The sequence below is a fragment of the Homo sapiens genome, chromosome 1, assembly GCF_000001405.40.
Source record: "Homo sapiens chromosome 1, GRCh38.p14 Primary Assembly".
Taxonomy (NCBI): Eukaryota; Metazoa; Chordata; class Mammalia; order Primates; family Hominidae; genus Homo; species Homo sapiens.
In genome coordinates, this window is record NC_000001.11 from 153,453,659 (window position 1) to 153,479,661 (window position 26,003).

Genomic DNA, 26,003 nt, shown 5'->3' on the forward strand with positions numbered 1-26,003 from the left:
TCTATCATTGTTGGACATTTGGATTGGTTCCAAGTCTTTGCTATTGTGAATAGTGCTGCAATAAACGTACGTGTGCATGTGTCTTTATAGCAGCATGTTTTATAATCCTTTGGGTATATACCCAGTAATGCGATGGCTGGGACAAATGGTATTTCTAGTTCTAGATCCCTGAGGAATCGCCACACTGACTTCCACAATGGTTGAACTAGTTTACAGTCCCACCAACAGTGTAAAAGTGTTCCTATTTCTCCACATCCTCTCCAGCATCTGTTGTTTCCTGACTTTTTAATGATCACCATTCTAACTGGTGTGAGATGGTATCTCATTGTAGTTTTGATTTGCATTTCTCTGATGGCCAGTGATGATGAGCATTTTTTCATGTGTCTGTTGGCTGCATAAATGTCGTCTTTTGAGAAGTGTCTGTTCATATCCTTTGCCCACTTTTTGATGGGGTTGTTTGTTTTTTTCTTGTAAATTTGTTTGAGTTCATTGTAGATTCTTGATATTAGCCCTTTGTCAGATGAGTAGATTGCAAAAATTTTCTCCCATTCTGTAGGCTGCCTGTTCAGTCTGATGGTAGTTTCTTTTGTTGTGCAGAAGCTCTTTAGTTTAATTAGATCCCATTTGTCAATTTTGGCTTTTGTTGCCTTTGCTTTTGCTGTTTTAGACATGAAGTCCTTGCCCATGCCTATGTCCTGAATGGTATTGCCTAGGTTTTCTTCTAGGGTTTTTATGGTTTTAGGTCTAACATTTAAGTCTTTAATCCATCTTGAATTAATTTTTGTATAAGGTGTAAGGAAGGGATCCAGCTTCAGCTTTCTACATATGGCTAGCCAGTTTTCCCAGCACCACTTATTAAATAGTGAATCCTTTCCCCATTTCTTGTTTTTGTCAGGTTTGTCAAAGATCAGATAGTTGTAGATATGCGGCATTATTTCTGAGGGCTCTGTTCTGTTCCATTGGTCTATATCTGTGTTTTGGTACCAGTACCATGCTGTTTTGGTCACTGCAGCCTTGTAGTATAGTTTTAAGTCAGGTAGCGTGATGCCTCCAACTTTGTTCTTTTGGCTTAGGAACAAAGGTTGAATTCTGATCAATATGACACTAATACCTGTGCCCTTAGGCCTTGCTCTAAAATGTCCTCCTTCCAATGCAGAATGACACATTGCCCCCACCCTATTCCTTGACATTCTTTTGAAAAAATATTGGATGAAATCAAACCAATTTTCTATCTGGTGCCTGTTTGGAGCTCTGGGCTGTGGTTGCGGAGATGGTCTGGCCCCCTCTCCTCTTTATATCCATCTGCTTCTGTTCTATAAGCCACCTTGGTGAGTTTGGAATAACACAGTTCTCTTGACAACCTGCCATAGCAAATCAGCAATATCTCAGGATTTGGGATCTTAACTAGGAACTGCATGCCACACATGTGTCCCTACCCTGTGATCACCTCTCTGGGATGACATGGGTGTGTAAACAGAATATCCAAATAGATGTGATGAGTCCTGCATTGACATAAGCATGGAGAGTGTGAAATAGTCTCAGGAACATTAGACAAGGCTCCCTTGAGAAAGAAGGTGATTTCTAATCCTAGACAAGAAGATGAAGAAGTATTTGTCCACACACTCCATCCTAATTTTTATGTGCCATTGCCATTGGATGGAATATTATCAGGTGAAATAAGAACTGGAAAAATAAAGGGAGGGCAGGCCCACATTAGGAGTGGCCAGTTGCCTTCTGGACTGTAGCGATGGATTGAAGGTCCAGCAACCCCACCCCAGGGAGACCCTCTCTTCTTTTGGGAGATCAGGACTTGAGTCAAGCTCTTCAGTCATTTGCATTATTCTTTTTGGCCTAGTTCCAGATTCTGGTTTCCAGAATCTCTCCTAAGCTTCACAACCTGCCTCCCAAACTGAAGTTTTTAGATTTTCCACTGCTGTTTACATGAGGTGGTATTGACCAGAATTTGCACAAGTGCATTTTATAATAAAAAATTATATAGAGTACTTATTATAAGCTGGGATCCAGTACTGCTATATGCTGGGTAACCAGGAGATCTGAGTTAACAGTGTTTTCCTTCCATGATTCCAAGTCTGCATGGAAAGACATCAAAGAAATTTGAGGTAATGTAGCCACTACAGTAGGAGTGGGCTCAGGGTGAGGGAAGTGCAAATGAGGCAGAGATCATTTCTTTGGGGTGAAGGGATAGTGGTTCACCATCTAAATGTCTAAGAGAAGTTGACATTAAAGCTCTGTCTTGAAATGTAAGTTAATGAGACAGATGACTTATTAAATGACATCCAGCAGAGGCAGCATTTGAAAGACTGGTATTGAGGCACGAAATACTGAGATATATTGATGGGGGGAGGTGTTGCGCATTCTTGGAATAACAGCAGCTGGGTGAACAGGAGGGATTCAGAGAGTGCTGGGGAGAGAGGAAGTCAGGTACCCACCCTTGGGACCCTGGCATGATGGTTCTGAGCAGTGACCTGCAGTCCTGGTGAAGGAGAGAGGAGGACAACGGGGGAAGATGGTCCTGGTTTGGAGATCTTCAGGGAAGGTGTGGCCCAAGGAAAGTGGGCAACAGAGCTAAGAGAGGAAAGAGAGCAATTCTGGGGTGGATGATGGGGACAGGCTACATAGAGAAGGCAGCAGGGGTCTGGTAAGAAAAAATGAAAGCCCAGGGACTGCAGTCCTCTGTGAGTTCCAAGAACAGGTGGAATGAGAATGAGAAAGGGAGAGAAGAAAACTAATGGTCAGACATTGGGATTTGGAGGTGAAAACTGCAGATCAGTCCTGAAGGCTGACAAGGTGCAGAATATGTTCAGGAAGGAAGATTCCTGATGAGGAGAGGAGATGCTGGTCTGTGAATAGAGGTGTGAGTGTGGAGTGGAACAGTCATTCACAAGAACAAATAACTCATCCTACACACTTCTGCTGGGGGAATGGAATGAGAATTTTTGAGATGGTTGCCTGATTCCTCTAAGAAGAATGTTTGCCTGATTGAGACGTTAGCTGGAGATTGACCAGGGTGGTAAGAATGATAGGGACAGATGATGTGAGCCTCTAGGGAGAATACTAAGAGCAGTTGCACAGAACATGGCCTGGAAGTGACACCAGGTGAACACTGACCCTGTGTTGTGGCCTGCATGGAGAGACCCACCAGTGCTCTGCTAGGACAGCACTGTGCCCTGCTTGTTTCTGCATCCTCAGCCCATAGCACACTGCCTGGCCTGGAGTAGACTACCAATAACAAACTACTCCATTACCTGCGAGATAGAGGTGCTGCAATTTCTCATCACAGTCAGCATGAGCTCTCTGTGTCAGTCCTTAGGACATTTCCGTGGTGCTGCCTTATTCCGGCTAGACTCCTTATTTGGACTCCTGGACTACTTTGAGCTCCTCAAAATCTGGAATATTCATTTATCACCAGAAACCCAGTCCTGGCATTTAGCAAACCATCGAGGACAGCTCAGCTTCAAGATGACTCCCTCTCACTTCCACAGGGTCACCCACTTAGGCACATGCACACAAGTGCACAGCACAGAGAGAGGACACAGCCCCTGGAGCCCAGGCCACAGGACAAGGGAGCTCATCCTCAGGGAACTACTGAGCATCCCATTCATAGCCACAAGGGCCCTGAGCCTGATGCCATCCAGGAATCCCTATGTGAGTGGTTTCTGTTTCCCCAAGCCCTGGAGAACAGCTGGGGCAGGAGCGGGAGGGCAGGAGCACACTGAGAGATGCCAGCCCCTTCTCAGTGCGGTATCTGAATGTGTCTGAATGACCCTGGTCCATGCCTTGACAAGGAGGAACATTGCTGTGATCTGGCAGGAGCTTTCCACTGACTTCCACCTGGAACCTGCCATGGTGGCTGCATTTAGGGAGCGGGGCAGAAGCAGACACCAGGACCTGTGTGAGAGGCAGCTCAGCTCTGCTGGAGGCCATAGGGGGAACGTTGCTGGAGGGACATTACTCCTGGGTGACCCACTGGATGGGGGTGGGGGAAATTCTCCAACAAAGTTAACCTGGAATTGGTAGTTTTGACAACGTAGGTCACCAAAGAGAAGAAGAAAATAAGGCAAGTGTCTGGTGGGAGAAGACATTTTATTGTTCCTGGGGTCTCTGGAGGCCCATTGGTGGGGCTGGGTCACTGGCTGCCCCCGGAACAGGGCGCTGCTCCATGGCTCTGCTTGTGGTAGTCTGTGGCTATGTCTCCCAGCAAGGACAGAAACTCAGAAAAATCAATCTTCTTATCCTCATTCTTGTCCTTTTTCTCAAAGACATCGGCGAGGTAATTTGTGCCCTTTTTGTCCTGTGAAGAGAAAAACATACAAAATAGAAAAATTCAATCACAAACAAGTTTTGGGCTGGGAGGGAGAGGAGGAGGCAGAGATACAGACAAGTACCTAGATCTGCACAGGCATGGTGGCGGGGCTGAGAGCACAGGGTGAGTGGGTGAAGTTGGGGTGAGGACGTGAGTGTTATCCCTGGAGTTCTCTAGGGAGTCTTTTTGTCTCACACCTCAGGATGGGAGGCAGGTCCTGTCCCAAGGTGCTCTGTTAAGTGACCTTGGGGAGAGCAGTCCCCTGCCCCAGCCTCACTCTTTCCCGTCCCAGCCTCTAAGGGCACTGCCTACCTTAGTTCTACCCCAGGGCCTCAAAATTGGCCCTCATGCTTTTGTTCTCTTCTTTCTCTGGCCTCCTCTCCTTTCTTCTCCTTTTCCACCAAACTCATCTTCTGGGTATCCTACTCTTGGTCATCTAGACCCTTTGGTACCTAGTAGCCCACAGTTTTTTTTCAGATTTGCTAATGAGTCTTGTTTATTGCAAAGAGGGCTATTGATTTCTACTAACAATGGAACTTCTAGTGCTTTCCCAGTAATCTCAGGGATGTTGATGTGGGGCCTTTGGGAAACAGGACCTGAGCATGTGAGTTTCAGTCTCACAGAGAGAGGGTCAGTGAGTGCTGGGAGGGGACTGTGCACTGCCCTCAAGCTGCACACTTTGCTGACCATCTAATAACCTCCTTTATATCTGTATAACTCTTTCCCATTTTCATACTTTTTTGCCTACCATCCTTAGATTCACATATGATCCAAGTAATAAAGCCCTATTTGCAAATGGGAAATTTTTTAATCAGAGGGTGAGGGTGATCTGTCCAAGGCCACATAGCAAAATGTATCCTCCAACATTGAGAAGCTAGACACCGACTCACACAGGCACTAAGGAAGTTGGGGAAGTTCTCCTTCATCATCGTCAGCAGGCTTGGCTTCTCAATCTTGTCATCACGTCTGGTGTATTTGTGAAACATGTCGATCATGCCTATTATGGACCTCTCAGCTTGAGTGTTGCTCATCTTTGCTTTCAAAAAGCCTTCAGGAAATAAAGACAATCATTTTTTTCCCTTCATTTAAGTTAGGGTCTCTATTTGGGAGTGCTGGAAGGAGGGCTGAGGACAGAGTAAAAACACGGATAAGGTGTAGCAGAACGAACTCAATTTTTTTTTAATGTGATGGGATAAGTTGCTCAAAAATGAGAGGGTAGGACCAAGTCTGAGACCTGGCCCATCCTGGCCAGGGCCAAGAGGAGATGCAGGTGGATGGCGGAAGTCCAGCTGTGGACAGTGCTTCAGAGAGGGAGAAGCAGGGAGAGTCGGGCGCCAGCAACACATGGAAGAACTAAGCTGGGACACCCCAGCCTCAGCCAGCACATGGCAGACCCCACTCTTAAAAGAGCACCAAATCCATCTCCTCCAGCTTCACAGTCGGGGTGACAGTCATGGGGGCAGGACAATGGCCTTGGTGATCTGGTGTCTGACCCTCCTCGGCTGCTTCAGGAACCAGACACCGTGGGCCCCACCTTGACTCAAGTGCAAGCCCTGCATGACACGGTGTGTGCAGGCTCCAGGTGCACATGTGAGCGTGGACGTGAGTGTTAGCAGGAAACACAGTCCTGTCCCGAGCACAGGGGGCCCTTCTTGTATTCCCTTGGGAACGAGAAACAGGAATGGCCTCTGTTACAAGGAACAGAAATAACTCTCTGGTTCTTAAGCTGCTGGACGGGGTGGGAGTGAGGTGGGAGTCACTTCATGTCTGCTCTTGGGAATTATCTGCACCCTCTGAATCACCAAGCCTTGACTGTTTAAATAAAAATGTCTGACTTCCCAAAGCAGATCTTTCAGCCAGTAGTCAGTCTGGGCTGGCCTGCACCCCAAGCCTGAAAAATAGGACAGTGCAGTTCTCACTTCCCACACTTTCCAAAGAACCAGGAAAGGACCTTGGCTAATGCATATGGGTGTCTGACAATAAACCCCCAACACCTCTCAATGCAGGAGAAAGCTCCATGCCGGCAACTGACTAAGAGGAGCCACCCAGAGCTTTTTTGAATCTGAGGCCAAGGCCAGAGGGCAAGCCCTGTGCCCAGAGGGTGACTGACAATTTGCAGGTTGTGGTAGGGAGTGACGGAGCGTTGGTTTCTCAATACCTTACCCAGGTAGGGGCAAGCCATCTGGCCAGGGCTATGCTGTGTCGGGGTCCCAGGCCTGGGGGTTTGGAGAGCCTCCAAAGCATTCACAGGGGACCCCTAGCCCTCCACCCTCTGTGGAGCTGGAGCTGGGGAGGGGATTTAGCAACCGGGACCCCAACAGGAGGATGAATCCAGGGAGGAAGAGGACAGGGAGGGTCCTGTGCTCAGGTCCCACTGGGGACATTTCCACAGGAGTTGCCTCAGGAGATCCCAAAGGAGCAATGGACAGGTCTGGTTCAGCCACCTGGTTATACAGACGTGGGCTTTTGGGGTCAAGTGAAGGTCACACAGCCCAGCTAATGGCAGAGCTGGCCTAGACCCAGGCTTCTGAGTCTTTGTCCACAGCCCTTTCCCTTCCTACAGGCAGCATGGCAGGCCAGGCACTGGGCACTTCTAGAAAACGCAAAGAGGCAGGTGAGACTTACCAGAGCTGGGAAGCGTCACGAGTAGAAGGATGAGTGAGATGTGTGTGTTTGGACAAAGAGCAGTCCTTTATAAGGCTCAGCCTGGCTCTTCCCAGGGGCTGGGAGGCCTGGGGCCACCTCTGTCATCTGTTTCTTGGAGGCTTGCCCCACATCAGGTGGGTGGGACACACCCAGGAGGCTGTGCTCAGGATTTCTGGCCAGTGTCCCAGGTCACCAGGTCCCACCCCACCCCAGAGACCTCACCTGGAGTCTTCTCTGGCTCAACCTTGATTTGAGGGTAAGGCAGCGGTACATGTGTAGTAGCAGGTCAGAAAATGGGAGAAAAGAGCACTGGGCCTCTGGACCCAAAGAGGATGGAGTTTCAGACTCCTGAAGGCAGCATGGTCTTGTTTGTTCCCTCCCCTTATCCTTCCACACATTTGTTATGACAGCCTGTTCTATGACCCCCACCGCTGACTGAGCATTTTAATGTCTAGATATCAAGATACCTGCTGCTCCTGCATCCTCCTCAACCCTCATAGTCCTAAGAGGTGCTTCAATCTCTATTTTAGGAAAGGAGAAGTTGAGATGTTCCCAAGTTTACTCAGCTAGTAAACACAACAAATCATTATATGGACTCAGAAAAGCCTGAATCAAATCCTTACTCTTATCCCCTGTGCTATAGGTCTTGGGTCACATCAGGGTCTGCCCTATGGGAACTCAAAGTCCAGGGAGGGAAGCAGGGTTACTTCATTGCTAACCATTGGTCAGCCCCTCACAGAAGCCCTGGAATTAGGTGGGGGGACTGGGGTCAGGGGCCTCACTATCTAGGTTGAGTGGTGGAGTGACCCCCCCATGGAATGAGCCTGGAGGCAGGGAGTGGGAAAAGTTCTTTCCTGCCCCATGGCACTAACTTCCCAGAAAGTCTTCAGTGTTTTTCCTCCTCCTATGCAAAACAGCCTGTGTAGGAGTTGGGAGTTGTGCCCTTGGCTATAATGTGCCCTAACCTGCTGTGGAAAGGCTGACCCAGGTAGGGGCAAGAGGGTTGGGAAGGCATGGGAATCCCTGGGGCATGGTGAGGAAAGGGAGATGATGAATCACTGAAATGGACTTTTTCTGCTACCCCCTTGCAATGTTCCTTTTAGGGTGCAAGAGAGTTCCAGGTTCATTTAGTGCCAGCCCTTTAAGCACTCTGGGGCTCCACAGAGCTGATGTGATGTCTCCCTAGGTGGGACCTATTTTCTCCACCCATCATCTTTCTTCAACTTCCTTCTCGTCAGTACCTATGTAACCAGGGGGACCTGTTTCTCCCTCTCCCAGTTCCCCATGTGATGGCAATATTACTTTTAACAGCAAAAGATACATACACACACACACAGTGGAATGCTACTCAGCTATAAAAAAAGAATGAAATCACGCTTTTTGCGGCAACATGGATGGAACTGGAGGCTATTATCTTAAGTGAAATTACTCAGAAAGTCAAATACTGTGCAACCTCATGTGTAAGTGGGAGCTACATCATGCATACAGATGGAGGTAGAGAGTAGAATCATAGACACTGGAGACTGTGAAGGGCAGCAGGTGAGGCGGTGGGTGAAGGATGAGACATTTCTTAGTGGGTACAATGCATGCTATTTAGGATGGCTTCATTAAAAGCCCAGACTTCACCATTGTGCCATATATTCATATATATGTGTATGCAGGTTTTTGTGTGGACATAAGTTTTCACTTCTTTTGGGTAAATCCCAAGGAGTGTGATTTCTGGATCCTATGGTAAGAGTATGTTTAGTTTTTTAAGAAAGCACTAAACTGTCTTCCAAAGTGGCTGTACTATTTTGTGTTCCTGCCATCAATGAATGAGAGTTCCTGTTGCTCCACATCCTTCTTCAGCATTTGCTGTTGTCCAGTGTTCCAGATTTTGGGCATTCTCATAAGTGTGTACTGGTATCTCATTGTTGTTTTAATTTGCATTTCCTTGAGGACATATGATGTGGAGCATCTTCTGATATGCTTATTTGTCACCTTCTGTATCTTCTTTGATGAGATATCTGTTAAGGTCTTTGGCCCATTTTCTAATTGTTTGGTTTGTGTTCTTATCGTTGAGTTTTAAGAGTTCTTTGTATGTTTTGGATAACATACAAAGTCTGATATGTCTTTTGTAAACATTTTCTCCCAGTCTGTGGCTTATCTTTTCATTCTCTTGACAATATCTTTCACAAAGAGAAATGTTAAATTTTAAAGAAGTCCAGCTTATGAATTCTTTCTTTCATGGATTGTGCCTTGGTGTTGCCATCTAAAAGTCATCACCAAAACCAAGATGATCAAATTTCCTCTTATGCTACCATCTAGGAGTTTTGTAACATTGTGTTTGCATGTAGGTCTATGATTCATTTTGAGTTATGTATCATCACTGTTTAGAAAAAAGGAACAGAGGAAAAGTAATACAAAAGGAATCAGGGACAACAATATTAATACAAGACAACAAAGAATTCTAAGAAAAGGGATTAAATGAAAAAGAAGAATATTTCTTATTGATTAGTGTGCAAGTCACCAAGATGCGGTAGTCTTATTCTTTTTTTTTCTTTTTCTTTTTTTTGAGACAGAATTTCGCTCTTGTTACCCAGGTTAGAGTGTAGTGGTGTCATCTTGGCTCACTGCAACCTCCTCCTCTTGGGTTCAAACGATTGTCCTGCCTCAGCCTCCAGAGTAGCTGGGATTACAGGTGCACGCCACCACATCCAGCTAATTTTTGTATTTTTAGTAAAGATGGGGTTTCATCATGTTGGCCAGGATGGTCTCGAAGTCCTGACCTCAGGTAATCCACCCTCCTTGGCCTCCCAAAGTGCTGGGATTACAGGTGTGAGCCACCAGGCCCAGCAATAATAGTCCTATCCTTATACACATAAGAACACAATTTTGAATTATATAAAGCAAACACTGAAAGAAATTAATGGAAACTGACAAACTTATATCACTTGGCAGGTTTTGGCAGAGTCTGCCCAGGAACTTCACAAAGCCATCAGATAACAAAACACCAGTAATGGCACAGAGCAGGGCGGGCAGATGCTGCCACAGCCCAGAAGCAGCCCCAGACACAAGTCCCCGTGAATGATGATGGCTGTGTCCAATAAACACTAACCTCCAGAAACAGGTGGCCAGCTGGATTTGGCTTAAAGACCATAATTTGCTGATTCCTGATATAAACTATTTGAAGGACACACTTAAATTTATTTATACACACATACATTCATAAATTCATGCCCAACCATAGAGAATACACATAAATTTCAAACATATTTGAGACATCCAAAAAACTGATCATTTGTTTTTGCTAAAATGAAAATCTCAGCAAATTAGCCTTAATAGGGGCCTTATCTTTTGCACCTGCTCATCAGGTTGAACCCTGTGAGCCCTTCCCCTGTGTCATGTCTGGAACAAACACTCTCCATAAACCCACCCTACTCCATCACACATCCAACCTCTCAGCCACTGCTGATCCCCCAGGAGAGCTCACAACAGGCTGGTCGTGAACAGGAATTTGGCTGGTTGATATCTTCATCTCCTCCATCGTTTTGGGGAGCTCCCCTCTCCCCAGTCTGAGGTAGAAGCAACATACTCCTGGGTCTCTAGAAGATCTCAAGTTGCTGGGGGAAGAGAACAGAAAGCAATTTGTTCTTTTTGCTGTATTTTATCCATTCATTTATGCTGTGAGTGCTGACTCTGTTCTGAGTGTGCAGGTGTCAGGGTGGCAGGGAGATGGATTGAAAGTGGACCGTGCTTTGAGCAATGCTCCGGCCCCAGGAGAGAACTCCAATGAGCCACTGGGTGGTGAGAGAGTGGAGTCGGACAGCGCCCGGAAGCCCCCAGGTCCCCAGGCAGTTCAGTGGCACTTTCTCTGTGAAGCCTTCTCCAGGCAGAGACATCATCCCCATGTCCCTGCGTGTCTCAGTGACAGCCCTGGCCACACATATGCTATGTTTGCTGCCACCCAGCCATGTCTTATATTGTGCCCCCAGCCTCCAGTGCAGAGAACTCCATAAACATTGGCCAAACTAGCAAGTGAGGCAGGTGTCTTCAGAAAGGTTCAGATAAAGTGTGTGAGAATTTGGAAGAGGAGAAATCACTTTTCAGGTGGGGGAACCAGGGGAAGCTTTGTAGGGGCGTCCTTTCAATAGGCCATAGAGCACTTCCAGGAGCCACGGTGAGAGGGACAGGGCAGAGGGAGCCACGGGAATGTTCCGAGACAGCCAGCTGTTCTGTTTGGGGTCCTTCTGGGTGGTGTTGGCCAGCTGCATCTCTGGACTCGTGCAGCAGTTGGGGGAGCGGGACAGAGAGACAGAGAGAGAGTTCTGCAGCATTCACAAGAGGTTATTAGGACTCAGTTCTGCTGTGAGCCATCCACACTGGAGGATGAGAACACCCAGCTGCAGCCCAGAGCCTGTGGTCCCACTGTTAGGTTTTGAAGGGAAGGCAAGGGTTAAAGAAAGACACAGAGAGAGTCGGTGGCTCTATGGCAACACAGGTTTTACATCCAGCACAAGACCTGAGGAGGTGGGGGACAAGCTTAATGCCAGAGCCCCCTGCCGCTTACAGGCTGGCGTAATTTATAGGTCTAGGTGGGGGTCTGGGCAGTATGGCTAGCTCGCCGGGAGGATATTGATAAGATGTTCCTGTGATCAGGCGGTTTGGACCTTTTTCCAGCGGGATGTGATAGGCTGTTTCTTGGACCTTTGCCCCGCAGGATATGATGGGGATGTTCCTTCAGTTGCGCCTTTGCCCAGCAGGGTATGATAAGGATGCTCTTGTGCCTTGCGGTCAGGTGGTTAGGCAGGATGTTTCTCACGGCCTGAATCCACATGGAATGTTTCACTCTGACCAGGGTCCGCAAAATGGCAGGGGGCTTACAAAATGGTGCAGTTTGGACTAACACCCACCATCCTGTCGAATGGGTTTGCTGGGAGGATTTACTGTCAATTCTGTTAGCCTGATAAGGGAGGTTGCTTTCTCGGAGGCCGCATACACAGACAGTGCTGGGAAGTGACCCATGCGTACCCTGAGAAATGTATCTGTTCAACCAAATTTCAAGTTGGCAATGATCATTCTTCGTCTCGCCCAATTTCAAGAGGAGGCTGGGCCCTGTAGGTTAAAACTGGAAAGCTGGAGAAAGCAGTGGAGGTCACTCCAGGAAGACTCCCTGGCCAAAGAGGACTGTAGGATTCTGACTTACAGTCAGGGCTGTTTCCGTTACAGTTGGCCCCAGTCAGAGACCCAGGATGAAACTCTGGCCCTGAGCGCGGAGAATAGGTTTTCTGTTTCCCAAGCTTCCACACGGTGGCGCCACCGAGCACCCACCTCGCCAGAGTTGCGAGGCGGTTCCACGTGGCTGGGCCGTCCTTGCCGGTTCTCGCCCTTATTTAGGTTGTGTGTCCCACTTCGGGCAGCAGTCTTGCAGCTTTTTAAAAAAGAGATCTTCACCAAAAGCTCCTGAAGGGCAGAGGGCTTTTCTTATTTAATTTGCATTCTTCTCTCTGCAATGCCTACCAGAGGGCGCTGCACAAAATCATGTATTGGGGATGCAATTGTTAATCGAGTTGGTAGAAACAGGAATAAATTAAAATAATTAAATTTTTAGTAATGGTGGGTTACGTAAATCTTGATGCCTATACACATGGAATCCCTGTGATGATACGAAATGGACATTTGGTCTTTGTCCCTGTTCCTGACACCAAGCGTCTGAAATCCTTGGAATCTCCCGAATGACAGGGGAGAGGGAGCATCTTTTGTTATTCATAACAACCCCCTTCCTGCCATACTGAGTGTGTGCTAATGAGGTGACTCTTGGTGGACCCCTAAATAGCTTCAGGATGGGGCTGGTTGCCAGAGGAAGCAACCATGTGATTACAGGGCTGGAGCTTTCAGCCCCAGGCTGGGCCTCCAGGGAGCGGCTGGGGAAGGACTTCAATCACCAGTGGCCAATTATTTAATCAACCATGCCTAAATGAAGTGACTGCCATAGAAACCCCAAACGATGGGGCTCAGAGAGCTGTCGGGCTGCTGAGTGGGTGGGGTGCCAGAAGGGTGGGCGCCTGGGGTGGGCCTTGAAGCTCCGTGCTGCCCCTCATACATGGCCCTGCGTGTCTCTTCCACGTGGCTTTTCCTGAGTTGCATTCTTTGTAGTAAACCAGTAATCATGAGTAAAGTGCCTCCCTGAGTCCCGTGAACTCTTGTAGCAGATTATCTAACCTGAGGAGGGGATTTGTAGGAACCTCCAATTTTAGCCAGTTAGTCAGAAGTATGGGCGGTCAGGTGCTGCGACTGGCATCTGAAGTGGGGGCAGTGTTGTGGGGCTGAGCCTTCACCTTGTGGGGTCTGTGCTAACTCTGGGTAGTTAGGATCAGAACGGAATTGCATGATACCCCGACAGTGTTCAGACAGTTGGAGAATTGGTTGGTGTGGGGATTTTTAAAAAAGGAAATATAACCCCCACACATTTGGCATCAGAAGTGTTGTGAGTCAGAATGGTTCAGGAATTCCATACAATGTAGCTATCTAGAATCAAGCACTCAGAAAATATTTAAGAACTGGGGAAATGTTTTAAAAATAGTCCTAATTGAAAAAGCAGATGATAAAGCAGCCGGGAAAAGGCAAAGCCGTGCCACAGGGTGGACGTGGAGTGGGGGTGGGGAGGGGGTTAATGTGACATGATTGCTCCACATGAGACAAGGCCACAGAACTCAGGAAACAAAGCTTGTTTTGAGCAAGAGTCCTGTCAGATTTTGACAGGAGGCAGAGCAGAGAGAAGATATCTTTACATAGGTGAAGCTAACAGTTCATGATAAAGTGTTCTCAGCCTTCACATTCACAGTCAACAGATTTTCAACAAGCCCGCCAAGCCAATTCAATGGAGAAAGAATAGTCTTTCCAACAAATGATGCTGGGACAAGTGGACAGCCACATGCAAAATAATGAAGCTGGACCCCTTCCTTCCTTCATACGCACAAATTAACTCAGAATAGGTCACAGCCCTACACATAAGAGCTAAAACAAACTCTTAGAAGAAAATATAGAAGTAAATCTTCAAGACTGAGGTCTTGAATATCTTTGCATATGCTACTGAGGCTTTATGACTTTACTTTCCACAGTTAGACCTACAATCCACTTGGAATTGTCATTTTGTCTGCTTGTGTGGTCTAGTTTCATGAGCATGAGCATCCAGTTGATCCAGTAAAATGTATTGAGAAGCTTGTGCTCAGCAGTGCCACTTTTGTCACAGAATAAATATACCATACGTGTGTGTCTTTTTCTCAGGCCTCTATTTAGTTCTGTTGATCTATGTGACTGTCATTGAACCAGCCCAGCAGTATCTGTTACCAGGGCTATTGTGATAAATCTTAACATCTAGTACTGTAGATCCTCCCATCTTTTTCATAATTGTCTTGGGTATTATTGGCCTTTCCATATGTTTTTTAGAGTTAACTTGTCAATTTCTACAAAAATTCCAGCAAGGACTTTGGGATTGGGATTGCACTGAATCTACAGGTTGTGTTTGGGAGAACTGACAGCTTTACAATAGCAGAGTGTTCCAGTCCATGAACGTGGTATATCCCTTACTAAAAACCTTTCAGTCGTTTCCCATCCTGCTTAAAGTTCAAATTTTGCGAAGTCCTCATTGGCTTGTCCTCTGCCTGCCGCTCAGACCTCATTTCCTGTCTCTCTGAACTCCATTTACACCACTCCAGCCCTTCTTTCTGCCCCTCCGTCAGCCCAGGCTGGCTCCTACCTGAGCACTTCTGTTCCAGCTCTTTCCTCTAACCATCGAGCCCTTCTCCTGCTCTCCCCAAGGTTGGATCCCCTGTTATTTATTCTGAGCCAAATATAAGTGACCGTGGCCCATGACACAGGCCGAGGAGGGTGGATCACCTGAGGTCAGGAGTTGGAGACCAGCCTGGCCAACATGGCAAAACCCCATCTCTTCTAAAAATACAAAAATTAGCCAGGTGTGGTGGTGGGTGCCTGTATTCCCAGCTACTCGGGAGGCTGAAGCAGGAGAATCACTTGAACCCAGGAGGCAGAGGTTACAGTGAGCTGAGATCGCACCACTGCACTCCAGCCAGGGAGATAGAGCGAGACTCGGTCTCAAAAAAAAAAAAGAAAGAAAGAAAGATTTAAAAGGTCTGTAAAGAAGAAAGTATGAATAAGCTAGTGAGAACTGGCAAAAATCCCAAAAGGAGCCTCAATATTTAATCAGTATAACCTGATTCATTGTATTGAGTACTATACTACATTTCTTTAATTTTTAAGATAATTGCTTTATCCTCTCCACCCCAACTCCACTGCCCTCTTAGCTAGCAATTGAATATTATCCTTCTTGAGGTCTTTCCAATCCTTGAGTTTTCTAAAACCCTGGGTGGGAGCGGGCTTGGGGTCAGGGGTGCTTAAGGGTCAATTGTGGGTAAACTTCTGAAGACTAAATTATGATTTTTTTTATCTTGCCCAAATTCCTATCTAAAGAATCTGAGGAGTCAACCCCTACAAACCATAAATTCTCATCAGATGGGTTTGATTTAACCCTATATATCATGACTTACTTTCCATGCTGACTCTGGTATAACATTACAAGGCAAGGAGGAAAATCAAAATATTTTACCCCAAAAACATGTTTCTTTGTCACAAGTTGAAATGGCCCTGCAAGCTTTGTCCTTTTAGGGGAAAATTCACATCTGTGAAAAATCTCTATTAACATAGCTAGACCTTTTTCTTCCAGGCCCCTCCAATTCTGAATAGATTAGCTAAGAGTCTAGCACCTTTTGAAGGGTCTGAATACCAAACATTTTGCCAACTCTTCTTTCTAAGGGCAACCGCTATGAGACTTCAAAAGAACATTGGTCTCCACAATCTTTTATCTTAACCTGAACATTTTCTTTCGATTTATCCCAGGTCCTTCCTCTCCATTAGCCTGCCCAGCATACCTGGAGCCCCTGCAGATGGCAAGCTATGGGATGTAAAAGCTAGAAAGCACATCCTCTTCCCTAAAGGCAAGCACTTGCTAATCACAGGTCTTACCTGAGGGAAGGGAATGAGAAGTCTTGTCTTTGAATGAAGATTGAAGTGTCTTGAACAGCACAAAGGATACAACTGGAATGGCTGTGAGAGGCCACTCATGAGAGGCAAAGCAGGTGGGAGTTGGAAGTGGTGGGCCAGGACTTTGGGCAATTTATCTTAGCAATCACTTGACTCCAATGACACCAGGCATGGAAAAGCCAATGCTGAATAGAATAACACTGGAAAATGAGGGTGAGTGGTTCACTGTGGCCCCAATCCAAAAGAAATAGTTTAATAGGGGAATTTCAGTAACAAGCTGGAGGTGAGATACTTCGAGGTATAGGACTTTTTCTTGTCCCTCAAATCCCCGTTTTTGACCAAATAATGCATATATATGCCACTTTGGGTTAGTTTGGATCCTCCAAGAAGAGGCCAAGACAAGATTAGGCATGCAAAAATGTTATTAGAGGAAACACCTGTGAAGGATGACTGGGGAGGAAGAAGATAGCAAGAGAAGGAAGGGAAAGCCTTCAGACTTCAATGCAAGCCTGAAACCTGAGAAGGGACCCGGGAGGAAGGAGAATTGGGTAAGAAGAGTCTCAGACTACAGCATAGTTCCAAGAAAGGGTTAGCCATGCGTGTTGGGAGTCCCCAAGCCAGTCATCCATGGAGGACCCCCACGTCTTTCAGTAACAGGCCCACTTGGTATTCCTGCCATGCTCAGTCATTGCCTGAGAGAAGCCCCACAGGAAGTGTGGCCCAAGTACAAAAGTTTTGGTGGATCCCAGCAGCAGGGGCAGCCGCTGGGATTGTCAATCCACTATGCCACCTCTAGCAGGAGAGCCCTGTAACAGGCATATTTTTATAACCTCTGTAGTCCACTTCTTGTCCATCACAGATCTGCTTTTCCACATTGGCTAGAGAAGAGCTCCTCCATGGTTACCATGGGCCTCTTTCCCCAAAGCATAACTCAGAAGACAGAGACTAGGGAGTGAATTACCGCCCATCATTGTAGCTGGTCTCTGGGATACAGCTGGTACTCCTCTCCTTCCTCTTCTATGCACTCTAAATTCCCCTCACCCTTCACTATCACCTTGGCAGATCTTAATGATGTTCCTAATGGTATAACCCAAACCTTTATTTCTGAAGATGCTGAGTCCTTGACCATCATCTCATTCTCAGACCAGAGTTTCTGCACTTATCTATTCACAGTTACAATGGGGCAAGGGAGTAACAGGAAGTGGCCAAGTGAATCACTTGGGTTCTACACATATTCCTCCCTGCCTCCATTGTGTAACAGCAGCCCTATCTCCTGTGGATCAACATCAATTATTCCTGCCCCAAGATTGACTCATCTTCTGCCCTGTTGGTCCCCTTTCCCCAGTTGGTCCCCTGTTGACCTCCTCTACCCTGTTGGTGCCCTGGTAGCAGCTGTAGCTTGTAGTTCAATGCAGCCTTGTTGTGTCCCCTGGCAAGAATGTGCCTCCTCTGGGGACAAAGATCTTCAACCTTTCAGAACCAAGAGTTGTGGGGATAAAAACTACAAACTCCCCAGGTGGGTCCCTGAAGTGATTGTAAGTGGGGCCAACCATGAGTCTTCAGGAAGGAAAGGAAATAGTTAATGTATCTACTGCTTCCTGAAGGATAGAACCTCAGCCTTGCAAAGTGTTGCCTCTGAGCAGGTGCTTCAGCTGTGCCTTTTGAGGTGGTTCCAGGGCTCTGTGAGGCCAGCTGCTTCTGGGGGATGTGGTGTGTGATACCACCATGATCTGGATCCATCCCACACCCACTTCCCTATAAAACTGAGTCCCCTGGGTGCATTCCATGCCTGTGGATAGGCATTCTGTAAGCCCCTAGATAGTGGTGCTGGCCAAGGCTATGCCGACAGGAAGGGAAAATCCACACCTGTGAGAACAAACCATTGGCCGTTTCTGTATAAAAGGTGCCCAGTGTAGCACATTTGGCTCCAAGTGGCTGGTTGATCTCAGTGAGAAATAGTTCCATAGCTGGAGCTCAGCATTGGTCTCTGCTGCTGACAGGTTGGATATTCAGAGGCGACAGCTGTTGCAGGAAGTCAGGGACCCCGAATGGAGGGACCAGCTGGAGCCACGGCAGAGGAACATAAATTGTGAAGATTTCGTGGACACTTACCAGTTCCCAAATAATACTGTCATAATTTCTTACATCTGTCTTACTTTAATCTCTTAATCCTGTTAGCTTCGTAAGCTGAGGATGTATGTCACCTCAGGGCCACTATGATAATTGTGTTAACTGTACAAATTAATCATAAAACATGTAAATATTGATTGAACAATATGAAATCAGTGCACCTTGAAAAGAACAGAATAACAGCGATTTTAGGGAACAAGGGAAGATAACCGTAAGGTCTGACTGCCTGTGGGATTGGACAAAAAGAGCCATATTTTTCTTCTTGCAGAGAGCCTATAAACGGACCTGCAAGTAGGGAAGATATCACTAAATTCTATTCCCAGCAAGGAATATTAATAATTAATACCCTGGGGAAGGAATGCATTCCTGGGGGGAGGTCTATAAACGGCCACTCTGGGAGTGTCTGTCTTATGCAGTTGAGATAAGGACTGAAATAAGCCCTGGTCTCCTGCAGTACCCTCAGGCTTATTAGGATGGGGAAAAAACTGCTCCCTGGTAAATTTGAGGTCAGACTGGTCCTCTGCTCTCGAACCCTGTTTTCTATTGTTTGAGATGTCTATCAAGACGATACGTGCACCACTGAACATAGAACCTTATCAGTAATTTTGCTTTTGCCCTTTGCCTTGTGATCTTTGCTTTTGCCCTTTGCATTGTGATCTTTGTTGGACGCTTATCAGTAGTTCTCTTTTGCCTTTTGTCCTGTTTCCTCAGAAGCCTGTGATCTTTGTTCTCCTTTTTGCCCTTTGAAGTATGTGATCTTGTGACTTACTCCCTGTTCTTGCACCCCCTCCTCTTTTGAAATCCTTAATAAAACTCGCTGGTTTTGCGGCTCAGGTGGGCATCACAGTCCTACCGATATGTGATGTCACCCCCGGAGGCCCAGCTGTAAAATTCCTCTCTTGGTACTCTTTCTCTTTATTTCTTAGCTGGCTGACACTTATGGAAAATTGAAAGAACCTATGTTGAAATATTGGGGGGGTTCCCCTGATAGACAGCAGCTAGGTCAGCCTTGGTAAAGGGAAGTCCATGTTCTTGGATTCACTTGTAACTTCCATGTCTGCCATTATGGCACTCCATTAGAGCACTCCAGTCATGCGCCCATTGAGCCAGTTCTGGGGTGGCCAATGACAAAAATATCTAATGTCAACTGGCCAAATTGTCTACTTGACTGTTCAGTGCCTCTCCCTTATGCTTTACGGTGGGTGATAAACTGTAATAAAAAAGATCTTCATGCTCTGTCCCCACCCCCATATGTTCAACTACATGCCTCTACCCCAACCTCCCTGTCTCTTATCTTCTGATCCTTTTCCACTCAGCCCTCTGACTACATGGCCAGGTCATTGGCTGCTGCAAAGAATCTGTATATATTCTCACCTCAGGCCAGTTCTCCTTCCAAAGTGGATGACAAGGTCCCTTGCTCACATGTGTTCCCATTCCCATGTACCTACATGTGAGCAAGGTACCTCTGACTGTCTTCAAAGTCACATTTAAACGTGGCTATAATCCAGCTGCTGTCCACTTCTGGCTTTCACTCATGTACCAAGTTGACCATTCACAGACCAAGCTCAGGCCTTCTTCTGTTCCTTCAGCCTATCATATGAGAAATCACACATAGCTATAGGCTTGGGTTGGGGAAGAGACATGATGGAACCCTGGCAGATGACATGGTGTTCTAGGCTGCATCCCCATGCAGCTTACTCATGCCCTCCAGCTGTGCTCAGGCTCAACTCCAAAGATGCCATTTCTGTTTTATGATGGCCTGCTGTTGGGCCCATTTTATAACTCAGTAGGTCCAACAGAGGCCAGCTCACAGTGGACAGTTTCAGACGCATGATCACTTGATGCCCCAGGATCAAAGCAGGGTCCAATAATATGCCAGGGCCTGTTTCCTAAAAAATCAGATACTTCCCTGCTGTGGATGGCATGGCCTTGCTCCAGAATCCCAGGGACCTGCATTGTAATTCTCCCAATGGGGCTTTCCATAAACTCCTTAGTATATTTTTACCACCATCGACCCCTCCAACATCATAGGGTATACCAAATCATATGACCCAACTGGATGGCTCTGTGCGCTATGATCTGGACCTGCTGCAGAGCCCTTTCCCACTCCTGGCCCCACCAGACCTGGCATCCTTCTATGCTACCCAGTTCATGCACCGAGCAGTATTCCTAGGTGTGGAACATGTTGCCTCCAGAATGCTGTGAGATCCATGTGCTTCCTTCTTCGTGATAGGGCATGCAAGATGCAGCAATTTGTCTTTTATTCTGGGTGGGCTATTCCAGGCCACCTCTGACCAGAAACCTCACTGATGTAGTAGAGTCCCTGAATTTTCAAAGTGTACATGCCTTACCAAGATCTCTAGAGTAGCAATCACCCCTTGCTCATCCTATCTGATCAACATGATACCACTCTGAGGGAGGTTAATGATAGAGGGAGGACCAAGTCCAGGATCAGCCCACCAGAGCCCTTCTGGCAGAGCCTCTCATCTTACCTGCATTTTCAGCCACACCAAGGCCCAAGGATTCTTCCTCTCCTGACACCTCTCCCAGCCTCAGACCCAACAAGACCTCCACTCACAAAACCCACACAGACTGTAGGGAATTCTCCTTCCTCACCTTTGACAGACCTGACTTATCTAGTGTATCATCTTCTTGGATGTTATTGTGAAATAGATCAATCATGGCATCACAGACTTCTCGGCATGGGTATTACTCATCTTTGTTTTCAAAGGGCTGCTGGAAAAAAATAATAAGTGGTGTGTTTTGTCAGAAGGTCTGTGACAAAACAGACCTTGTGTATGGGTCTGTCAGGGAAGAAGGAAGCTGATGGATGATAAGATGTGTTGGAAAGGCTCTAAGGGAAGGAGGGTGTAATACGTGTGAGGGCTGTGCTAAAATAGAACTAGATTGTGATGCACAGAGACGGGAGAGAACTGAGCTTCCATGTGTGGTACAGGAGCCTGCCTGGCCCTGGGGGTCTGCTGGTTATCGGAAGATCCTGTGATGAACAACAAAGGAGCACCACATTTGTTGCAAGACTCCCCAGCCAAACACTGCATGTCTTCTCTGCCTCAACTCCAAGACTTAGCAGCAAACTCTTCCCAACAGCCTGGAGGGTCAGGGCTGGAGTCTGATGTCTTTGGCAGGACAACCATCCTAAAGAATATAACTGATTCACTCTGGACAGGCCCCCTCAGAGTACTGGACCTTCTCTCCTACACACATATGCATATGCACACATACACAGACACACACACACGTGCACACAAAACAGCATGATGGCTCATGCTGTCCATAGATCACACTCTGGTGCGGCCTCCACTTTAACAAAACCAGCACTTACTGACCACCTCTTGCTGATGAGTGTAAGTGTAAACAGGAATAAATATCCCAGGAACATAAAAAATATATATATATTGTAAGCAGTAAGCAAGTAAGCAGAGGTTGTAGCCCCCAGTTACTTCCAGGCTATAAATCAGAAGAAATGCATGCCAAACTTGATCTGATGGAGGGGTCAGAAGGTCCTCAGATTAGCCACTGTTGTGAGTTGTCTACTCCTGCTCCCTCTCAATCAACCAAATCAAAGACCTTAACTTTAAAAAAAAAAAAAAAAGATTGGGTCTAGGATATGCAACTGACCAGAGAAGGAAGGACACTGGGGCACAGAGAATGACTCATCCCAAGGTCACATAGTCTAGTTGGTGGCCGAGCTGGTGAACTGGATCAGGCTGATAACTGTTAAAGGCAGTTTCTCCTGCTCTTCAGGAATAGCACATGGGCTGTATACTTGTGTGCACCACCACGCTCAGCTATTTTTAAAATACTTTGTAGAGATGGGGTCTTGCTATGTTACTCAGGCTGGCCTCAAACTCCTGCCCTCAAGTGATCCTTTCGCATTGGCCTCCCAAGCCCTGGGATTACAGGTGTGAGCCACCACACCTGGAATCACAGAGGCTGACCTGAACCCTGTAATGATTCATTGAAGAGAAGGACATGTTGGTAAGGAAGAGGTGCTTCTCTGGGACCAAGAACTGGCCCAGCACCAGTGTTCCACCAACCTCCAGGCCCGGTGCCCACGCTCAGCTACTTCCAGCATGGCCCCAGAGCTCATTAATGCACCAGAACCCTGTGCCTTCTGAGCCTTCTGATCCGCCCCAATCCCCAAGGCTGAGGCAGCGTAACAGGATATATTGGGTTGGAACAATGAAGAGAAGTTTGCTGAGCCCCACAAAAACTCCACTGTGCATCCGGGGATGGAAATATGGTCTCCACTGGTTCCCTTTCCGGTAATTCAAAAATAATAGCTATTAACAACTACCAATCGTTCAACACTCTGTGCCAGGCAAATACAATGTGTGATTTACACATATCCCTTTATTTAATCTGCAGGAAAATCATGTTAGGTAAATACATCGTTCCATCATACAGGTAAAGAAACTGAGACTTAGAATGTTTACATTGCCGGGCGCGGTGGCTCACACCTGTAATCCCAGCACTTTGGGAGGCCAAGGCGGGCGGATCACGAGGTCAGGAGATCGAGACCATCCTGGCTAACACAGTGAGACACAGTCTCTACAAAAAATTAGCCGGGCGTGGTGGCAGGCACCTGGGAGGAAGAGGTTGCAGTGAGCCGAGATCATGCCACTGCACTCCAGCCTGGGCGACAGAGCAAGACTCCGTCTCAAAAGAAAAAAAATAATGTTTACATAACATGGACAGGTCACCCAGTGGGTAGATGCATAACCAAAATTCAAACCCAGGCCAGCATGACTACTAAACCTGGCTCTTAACCCTCTGCTATCCTAAGGAGTCCCTGCTTTGTCACACCAGGGCCTGCTACGGAGGATCCCACTGTCCAGAGAGCAGACAGGCATGTACTTTCAGAGCAGAGTCTGCTGGGGTCTGACAGGCACAAGCCCAGAGACCTCAACCCAGGCAGTTGTGTGGACTTCAGGGCCCAGGGCAGCAGTGAGTGGAACCTCGGCAGGCTGCAGAGCCCTGGACCTCATATTCTTTCAGTCCACAGGCCACTCTGGAAAGAATTTGCTCTCCTAGAGTTTAACATCAAGATATAGCATCTTGGCCAGGTATGGTGGCTCACACGTGGAATCCCAGGGCTTTGGGAGGCCAAGGTGAAAGAATCACTTGAGGCCTCAAGTTTGAGACCAGCCTGGGTAACATAGCAAGACCCCATCTCTACAAAGTATTTTAAAATTAGCTGAGCATGGTGGCACACACCTGTAGTCCCAGCTACTTGGGAAGCAGAGACAGGAGGATCAGTTGAGCCCAGGCGTTTTAAGTTGCAGTGAGCTGTGATCTCACCACTGCACTCCAGCCTGGATGACAGAGTGATACCATGTCTCCAAATAAAATTTTAAAAATAAAAAGAGGTAAATTTCAAACAGAAATAATAATGATTCTCTTGGATTATGGAGGAAGTCACTGCCAGAGGCCCATTCACAGTAAACCAATATAGAACATCTTCAATTTTAAACTATTTAAGATTAAGTTTTGGCCAGGTGCAGTGGCACAAGCCTGTAATCCCAGCACTGTGGGAGGCCAAGGTGGACAGATCACTTGAGACCAGGAGTTTAAGACCAGCCTGGGCAACACGGTGAAACCCCATGTCTACTAAAAATACAAAAAAAATAGCCAAGTGTGGTGGCACACACCTGAGGTCCCAGCTACTCAGGAGGCTGAGGTGGGAGGATCCCTGGAGCCCAGTGAGTCAAGGCTGCAGTGAGCCATGATGATCACACCCCCACCTGGGCAACAGAGTGAGACCCTATCTCAAAAAAGCAAAGAAGATTAAGTTTTATAAAAACTTGAGATGCCCTGAAATCTTATGGCTCATATGTGGAAAAAAAAAAAACTTGATAGAGGTTTTCCCAAGTTGGCCAATAATCCTAAAAATTTACATAGCATTATGTATAAAGATGTGAAGCTAAAAACAAAAACCTTTCTAAATTATCAGTAGGAATTCAATCAATAATATGAAAGACTGAATTGTCTTTCTAGTCTCATGTAGAAAATGATTTTACAAAATGGTCATCACGTGAAGCAAAATCACAGAGCCAGGAAAACATAGAAAAATAAAAACTATAGCTGTATCACCCAATTAATAAAAATATTGTCATTTTCTTAGCTTTGGCAATGTTTGTGGTATTTCTCAACTTTCTGAAATTCATAATTTGCTATAACTCTTTTCTCATTCTAAATGAATATTCACTTCCATGTTTAGTTTTGCACCGCTGATTTTTAATTATTTTTCTGAAAGGAAGTCCCCCCAAAAAGTGGCAGGGCCCACAACCCCTTTTTCCAGTCCTCAAACTCTTGCTGATTTTGTCCAAGGTTTTGACTACACCACACCCTCGGTCTGGCATCCCCTTTCATATCTTCTCTGCCTAGAAAATTCCTAACCCTTCTTCAAGGCCCTACTCAAAAGTCACCTCCTCTGTGAAGCCTTCCTTGACTAGCTCAAGAAAGTAGAATCTCCCTCCACTCCGGAACACCACAGCACTTTGTTAGCTCTCTCTCCTTGGCATCTCATGGCCCTGGAATCATGCTCTGCAGAAGCCTCCCCCACCAGCTAGGCAGCAGGCTCCCAGGGCAGCCACAGCAGGAGCTCACGGAGAACATGTTTGCGAGGTGCAGTAAAGGCCCCGGGCATGGAGGGGTGGGACTGGGGCTAACACAAGGCCCCCGAGCCAAGAGTGCAAGGTTCTAACTCCCTTTGTGACCCTGGGCAAAACCTGTATTTCCTTTGTCTGAGAAGTCTGTGTCTTCTCATCTGTCAGAGGAGAAAGGAATTACTATTTCACAGAGATAACAGATGTGAAAGCCCGGGGAGAGGTAGAAAGTGCTATATCAATGTAGGGGGATTTGTATTATGATTGTTGGCAGATTCAGGTTTGCTGGCAGGAGACACTGAGTTAAATCCTGTGACTTAGAAGCCCAAATCTCTCACCAGGCACACCTCAGTTTATAGAAGTGGGTGGTGGCACTGCAGTTTCAGCTTCACAGGGTGTGACAGCCACCAGATTAAAAGATGAATGTCAACTGCACAGTGGGAAGGAGGCACCCTGACTCCCAAATGTCCCTGAGGCTAGAGCTCAGCCTTCAGGTGAACTCGACTTCCCAGATGGTTCTCAGCAGAGGGGACATGGAGTCCCTGGCTCAAGTCTGAGCCCCTTCCTCCTCCCTAGTCTCCAGCCCACTCATCAGCATGAACTCCAGGCATTCAGCTCAAACCTTAAAGCAGCTGGGGGCAAAAACAATAAAAATAATAAGTTATGCTTGTCTCCACACCAAACTCCACCCTGGAAATACTGCTGACATCAACATCTGCCATTGACTTCTTGCCCTCATCCAAAAAGACAAACTTTTATCAATACAAATCTTGCCTAAGATTGGCTTTTTTTTGTTTTAAATGCATATGCTCATTTCCCCCAGCGCTGTGGAGAAGCAGGACCAAAGGTCAGTGTTTGATTTGTAGCAAGAGGTGTGTGCACATCTGTGTCTCCCTGCTATGGATCCAGGCCCCCAGAGACTCTAGAGTGACCAGCTGACTGGCCCAGCAATTCCCCCTCCCTGCCCAGCCATTCTCACTTTGCTTCCACCAGTTGGTGGACAGGCCCTCTCCCTGATGCAAGCCATGGCAGGGCAGAGTCTGTGCCTGATTTGTCTTTAGAAACTCCCCCCCATTCTCCTTTTTGGGAAGGAGAGTGAGCTTGCAAAAGCAGCATAGCATGGTGGTCAAGAGAGCCTTCGCCCTGGAGCCCAGGTGTCCCAGTTCAGCTCCAGCCACGTGTTTATTAGCTGTGTGATCTTGAGAAAGTTACTTACCCTCTCTGTGACTCTGTTT

The 26,003-nt window shown here is 46.9% G+C and overlaps 1 protein-coding gene and 1 long non-coding RNA gene across 2 annotated transcripts; both read right to left on the reverse strand.

Annotated features, from left to right (window-relative positions):
• Positions 1-4,085: 4,085 nt before the first annotated feature.
• S100A7 (S100 calcium binding protein A7) lies at positions 4,086-6,993 on the reverse strand. Its single transcript, NM_002963.4, has 3 exons — positions 6,950-6,993; positions 5,215-5,372; positions 4,086-4,312 (listed from the first exon to the last, which is right to left on the reverse strand). Exons 2-3 carry the CDS (start codon positions 5,353-5,355, stop codon positions 4,148-4,150), a joined length of 306 nt encoding a protein of 101 aa, NP_002954.2. The 5' UTR covers positions 5,356-5,372; positions 6,950-6,993; the 3' UTR covers positions 4,086-4,147.
• A 3,142-nt stretch (positions 6,994-10,135) lies between these two features.
• Positions 10,136-12,452, reverse strand: LOC124904422 (uncharacterized). The gene is made up of 2 exons (XR_007066629.1): positions 12,281-12,452; positions 10,136-10,572 (listed from the first exon to the last, which is right to left on the reverse strand). It is a non-coding gene; the product is annotated as an uncharacterized LOC124904422 (long non-coding RNA).
• Between the last annotated feature and the right edge of the window lie 13,551 nt (positions 12,453-26,003).